The sequence below is a fragment of the Homo sapiens genome, chromosome 2 (genome assembly GCF_000001405.40).
Source record: "Homo sapiens chromosome 2, GRCh38.p14 Primary Assembly".
Taxonomy (NCBI): Eukaryota; Metazoa; Chordata; class Mammalia; order Primates; family Hominidae; genus Homo; species Homo sapiens.
Window position 1 is genome coordinate 164,370,669 of NC_000002.12, and position 6,133 is coordinate 164,376,801.

Sequence of the window (6,133 nt, forward strand, 5' to 3'; positions counted from 1 at the left end):
CTTTCATCCCAGTTTAAATTTAAAAAGTGATGGAAAATTAACTCTTAGCAGAAGTAAAATTTGTGGAGGGTATTCTGATACCTTTGCCATCTGATATGGTGTGGCTGTGTCCCCACCCCAATCTCATCTTGAATTGAATTGTAGTTCCCATAATCCCCAAATGTCATGGGAGGGACCCCATGGAAGGTAATTGTATCATGGGAACTGTTTCCCCCATGCTATTCTCATGATAGTGAGCAAGTTTTCATGAAATCTGATGGTTTTTTAAAGGGTTTTCTCCCTTTGCTCAGCTCTCATTCTACTTCTCCCTGCTGCCATGTGAAGAAGGACATGTTTGCTCCCATTTCCACCATTATTGTAAGTTTCCTAAAGCTTCACCAGCCACGCTGAACTGTGAGTCAATTAAACCTCTCTCCTTTGTAAATTACCCAGTCTCAGGTATGTTTGTATTAGTAGTGTGTATTAGTCTGTTTTTACATTGCTGAGACTACTGTTTTCACATGCCTGAGACTGGGAAGAAAAAGAGGTTAAATGGACTTATTGTTCCACATGGCTGGGGAGGCCTCGCAATCATAGTGGAAGGCAAAGAGGAGCAAGTCAAGTCTTAGATGGATGGTGGCAGGCAAAGAGAGAGAGCTTGTACAGGGAAACATCCCCCTTATAGAACCATCAGATCTCATGAGACTTAATTCACTATCACTAGAACAGCATGGGAAAGGCCTGCCCCCCATGATTAAATTACCTCCCACCAGGTCCCTCCCACAACATATGGGAATTTAAGTTGAGATTTAGGTGGAGACAGAGTGAAATCATATTACAGTGTGAGAATGGACTAACACAGTAAATTTGTACTGCAGAAACTGGGGTACTGCTGTAAAGATACCTGAAAATGTGGAAGTGATTTTGCAAGTGGGTAACAGGCAGAGATTGAAGCTGTTTGGAGGGCTCAGAAGAAGACAGAAAAATGTGGTAAAGTTTGGAACTTCCCAGAGACTTGTTGAATAGCTATGACTAAAATGCTGTTAGCGATATGGACAATGAAGTCCAGACTGAGGTGGTCTCAGATAGGAGACTGGCGGCATTTTGCCCTGCTCTAGAAATCTGTGGAATTTTGAACGTGAGAGAGATGATTTAGGGTATCTGGTGGAAGAAATTTCTTTTTCTTGAGACAGAATCTCTCTCTGTAGCCCAGGCTAGAGTACAGTGGCACATTCTTGGCTCACTGCAACCTCCACCTTCTGAGTTAAAGTGATTCTCCTGCCTCAGCTTCCCAAGTAGCTGAGATTGCAGGCATGCACCTCCACACTTGGCTAATTTTCGTATTTTTAGTAGAGAAGGGGTTTCACCATGTTGGCTAGGCTTGTCTCCAACTCCTGACCTCAAGTGATTCACCTGCCTCAGCCTCCCAAAGTGCTGGGATTACAGGTGTGAGTCACCATACCCAGCCCTGGTAGAAGGAATTTCTAAGCGCACAAGCATTCAGAAGGAAGCAGAGCATAGAAATTTGGAAAAGTTGTAGCCTGACAATGCTATAGAAAAAAAAAAAAAAAAAAACACTTTCTCGGGATAAATTCAAGCCTGCTGCCGAAATATGCATAAGTAACTAGGAGCCAAATGTCAATCAAAACAATGGGGAATATGTCTCCAGAGTACGACAGAGACTTTCACTGCAGCCCCTCCCATCACAAGCCTGGAGGCCTAGGAGGGAAAAATGGTTTCCTAGGCTGGACCTGGACCCTCCCTGCTCTATGCAGCCTCAGGACATGGTACACTGCTTCCCAACCACTTCTGCTCCAGCCATGGCTAAAAGGGGCCGACATACAACTCAGGCCATTGCTAGAGGGCATGCAAGCCCAAAGCCTTAGTGGCTTACATGTGGTGTTGAGCCTGTAGGTGAACAGAAATCAAGAATTGAGTTTTGGAACCTCCACCTAGATTTCAGAGGATATATGGACATCCAGGCAGAAGTTTGCTGCAGGGGTGGGGCCCTCATGGAGAACCTCTGCTAGGACAGTGGGGAAGGGAAAGGTGGGGTCAGAGTCCCCATACAGAGTCCCCACGGGGGCACTGCCTAGTGGAGCTGTGAGAAGAGGGCCACTGTCTTCCAGACCCCAGAATGGTAGAGCCCCTGATAGCCTGCACCTTGTGCTTGGGAAATCTGCAGACACTCAATGTCATCCTGTAAAAACAGCTGAGGGGAGCTCTACCCTGCTAAACCACAGAGGCAGAGTTGCCCATGGCTGTGGGAGCCCACCTTTTGCATCAGTGTGTCCTAGATGTGAGACATGCAGTCAAAGGAGATCATTTTGGAACTTTAAGGTTTAATAATTCCCCTATTGGATTTTGGACTTGCATGAGACTTGTAGCACTTTTGTTTTGGCCAATTTCTCCCATTTGGAATGGGTGGATTTACCCAGTGCCTGTACCCCCATTGTATCTAGGAAGTAGCTAGCTTGCTTTTGATTTCACAGACTTATAGGCAGAAGAGGCTTGCCTTGTCTCAGATGAGACTTTGGACTTAGATTTTTGATTTAATGCTGGAATGAGTTAAGACTTTGGGGGACTGTTGGAAAGGCATGACTGTGTTTTGAAATGTGAGAACATGAGATTTGGGAGGGGCCAGGGATGGAATAATATGGTTTGGCTGTGTCCACACCCAAATCTAATCTTGTATTATAGTTCCCAAAGTCCCTACATGTCATGGGAGGGACCCGGTGGGAGGTAATTGAATCATGGGAGCAGTTTCCCCCATGCTATTCTCATGATAGTAAGTTCTCAAGAGATCTGATGGTTTTATATGAGGCTTCTCCCTTCACTTGGCTCTCATTCTTCTTCTCCCTGCTGCCATGAGAAGGATATGTTCACTTCCCCTTCTGACATTATTGTAAGTTTCCTGAGGCCTCCCATCCATGCTGAACTGTGAGTCGATTAAACCTCTTTCCTTTATAAATTATGCAGTCTCACATATGTCTTTATTAGCAGCATAAGAATAGACTAATACACCATCATAAGGAAGAAATGATCAATTTTAATGATATAGTGGGAAACAGCAATTATGTGTGACAATTATTTTAAATACTACTAGATATTTTATGGAATGAATCAGAAAAGAAGTAACTGAAACTATAAATATATAGAAGAACTGTTAAATACAAAGTGGAAGAATTAATTCCCAGGGAGAAAAACACACTCTATATCAAGATTTACAGTCTCACGTATTCTGCTTTGCATTAACATTGATATTACTACTGATCTTTTCTGTATAAACTTATTCTTAATAATACTTTTGTGTTATAGGGAATGATAGTATTTGCCTACTTAATATCTTACAGAGTTACTGTAAAAGCAAATGAATATATATACTTTAAACTCATCAGATGAATAAGATTAAACTAAGAATGATTACTCATTTCTAATTTTAAAATATAATTCCATAAAACTTTGTCACTCTTAAAAACAAGTTACTATATTTTAAAAAATAATAAAAGCATCAGCTTTGGAGTTAGAGTTGGGCTCAACTTTCAGATTTGTGACTTATCCTTACTGAGTTTTGGTTTCTTCTATAAAATTGGAATTTTAAAAAATTGTTTCTTTGTAGTAAGAATTAAATATAATAATGCACTCAATATGCCTAGTAGTATGCTTGGTTTAACATTTACTGAGCATCTACTATTGTAAGGCCTTGTATTTAGTGCTTTTTTTTTATAGTCACTCATTTAAACTCCAAACTAATCTATGAGGTAGACATTATGACAACCACATTTTACAGACTAGAAAACAGAGGCATAGAGAAATTCAATAACTTGTGTAAGGTCATAGACCCAGTAGTTGGCAGAAGCAGGATTTGAACCAAGCTAGTCTGACTCAAGCACTTAAATTCTTGATTGTCGCACTAGACTGCTTCTCCTATTAACAACAGCTTCCAGCTTGTCAGCTATTTATGTTAATATGTATAGCACTGTCTTGCCTTGAAAATTTTTGAGGTTTGCATTTGTTTTTTTTTTTTTTTGCTTTTTTTTTTTTTTTTTTGAGACAGACTCTCCCTCTGTTGCCCAGGCTGGAGTGCAGCGGCGCGATCTCGGCTCACTGCAAGCTCCGCCTTTTGGGTTCACGCCATTCTCCCGCCTCAGCCTCCCGAGTAGCTGGGACTACAGGAGCATGCCACCACGCCTGGCTAATTTTTTTTTTTTTTTTTTTTTTTTGTATTTTTAGTAGAGACGGGGTTTCACTGTGTTAACCAGGATGATCTCAATTGCATTTTTTTAACTTGGAGTGAAAGGCTGACTTTGACCTTCATTGGTGATGTGAACATGATTCGCTTTTTCAGTATCTCTTTCTCCTTTATTAATAATATAAGGAACTACCTCTCAATGCTATAGAGAAGATCACCAAAGATGATGAATATGAATATGCTAAATAATGATTGATTTTACGTGGCCATATTGTACCTGGGGGGGAAAAACTATTGTAACTTGACCCAGTGATACAAATGCTTTATGATTCCACGGTTTTTGGACTATGCTTACCAAATGCAGGTTCCTAAGAATCGTCATGTAGAGTCAGACAAATCTGAACTCCTCCCACCCCAACAACCAGACTTGTTATTTGTGCTTGTTTTTTGTGTTATCACCAAGAATGCATTTTAAAAAGGATTTCAAACCTAATATATTTTAAAATCTCTGAATTCTACAGTCTATAGCTTCTAGCCAAAGTCCAACTATTCTATGAGCCCTACCAATTATATCATATGCTAAAGAGATTTGGATACATTAATTAATTTCAATGCAAACTGCTTTTTAAGGAACTGTATATACTAAACAGGATGTTTTCAAGCTTTGGCAAAGTTCAGTTAAACCATTCTGTTGTAAAATGCTATGATGTTGGGGAGAAAGGACAAAGGAAAGGCACTCTGAGGACTGTCGTCTTCTATCCCTAATCTGACTTGATTGTAGGTATACAAATTAGCCACTATTATTCAACCCTTATAAATGACAGCATTTCAAAATACATATTGTAAATACCTCACTATTAACACTAGTAGTAAAGGAGTGGACTCTAAGAGAAAACTTGTCCCGATTTCTTCACCTATGTGTTCATTCCTTCAAAAAATACTTTTTGGTCATTTACTGAAACCCTCTGGCAGCTGCTATAGAAAAAAAATACATATTCAACATGGAAAACTAAAAATACAGAAAAGTATAGAGAATAGTTTAATATACTTCCAGACATTTGCAGTTTTGTACATAGTTTCATTATATTCCATAAACAAAACTGCATTGTTTTAAATACTGTAATATGATTTACCGACTATAAGAGTACTACATGCTGGTGTAGACAGAAAATTAAAATGAAGAAAGAGAAATCATCCAAAATTCTGGTGAATATTGTTACCACTGTATTTTCCTAAAATACTATCTCCTATGCATTTTTGAAAAATAGTTGAGATCATTTTGTTTTCTCTGGTTTTTAAGCATACTTAACATAATCATTCAGAGATCTTAAATGAAAAGGAAGTTAAGATGAAATCAGTGACAGATAACTGCCACTGGATTGTCTCCATCAAATTAAAGCAAAAGTCATCTCTTAGGTCATTTAATGTAAGTTTAAACATGCAGAAATCAGTTAGTCAAGTACCCCGGAAATTTTAAAAAGGAGGAAAAGGACACTTCACTGTTCCACTTAACCAGCAACTGGTAGAGACAAAAGGACATTTTTCCTAGGTCCCCTAACCTAAAAATTGTTAGCATCAGGTGAAACAGAACACCACCAAGTTCGGTTAAAATTGTCATCATCAACATCTACAATTTTCTCTTTCAACATTTTATTTATTGATGCAGTGTATTAGAAGATGATCTCAAAGTTCTGGGCAGTGCTTTCCAAACGTTAATGAGTAATCAAATCATCTGTGGATCTTCTTCAAATGCAGATTCTGATTCAGAGGTCAGGATTGGATCTAAGAGTCCTCATTTCTTACAGCAAGCGATGGGCTTGCTGCTGGTCCACAGACCAATGTCTCTCTCCACCTCCCACAACCCAACCATTGAAAGGTGAGACGCTTGGTAGTCTTTTGCTAGTTCTCAGTCCCTAGGTCTCTGGGTTTGAAACAGTGAGCACACTTTGAAAGAAGAAAGCG

The 6,133-nt window shown here is 39.5% G+C and overlaps 1 annotated feature.

Annotated features, from left to right (window-relative positions):
* Positions 540-1,041: an enhancer, noted in NCBI's record as "OCT4-NANOG hESC enhancer chr2:165227718-165228219 (GRCh37/hg19 assembly coordinates)". NCBI's record gives its function as "activates a minimal SCP1, AML or CMV promoter by ChIP-STARR-seq in naive H9 embryonic stem cells {active_cell/tissue: H9 hESC(naive)}" and the evidence as "EXISTENCE:reporter gene assay evidence [ECO:0000049][PMID:30033119]".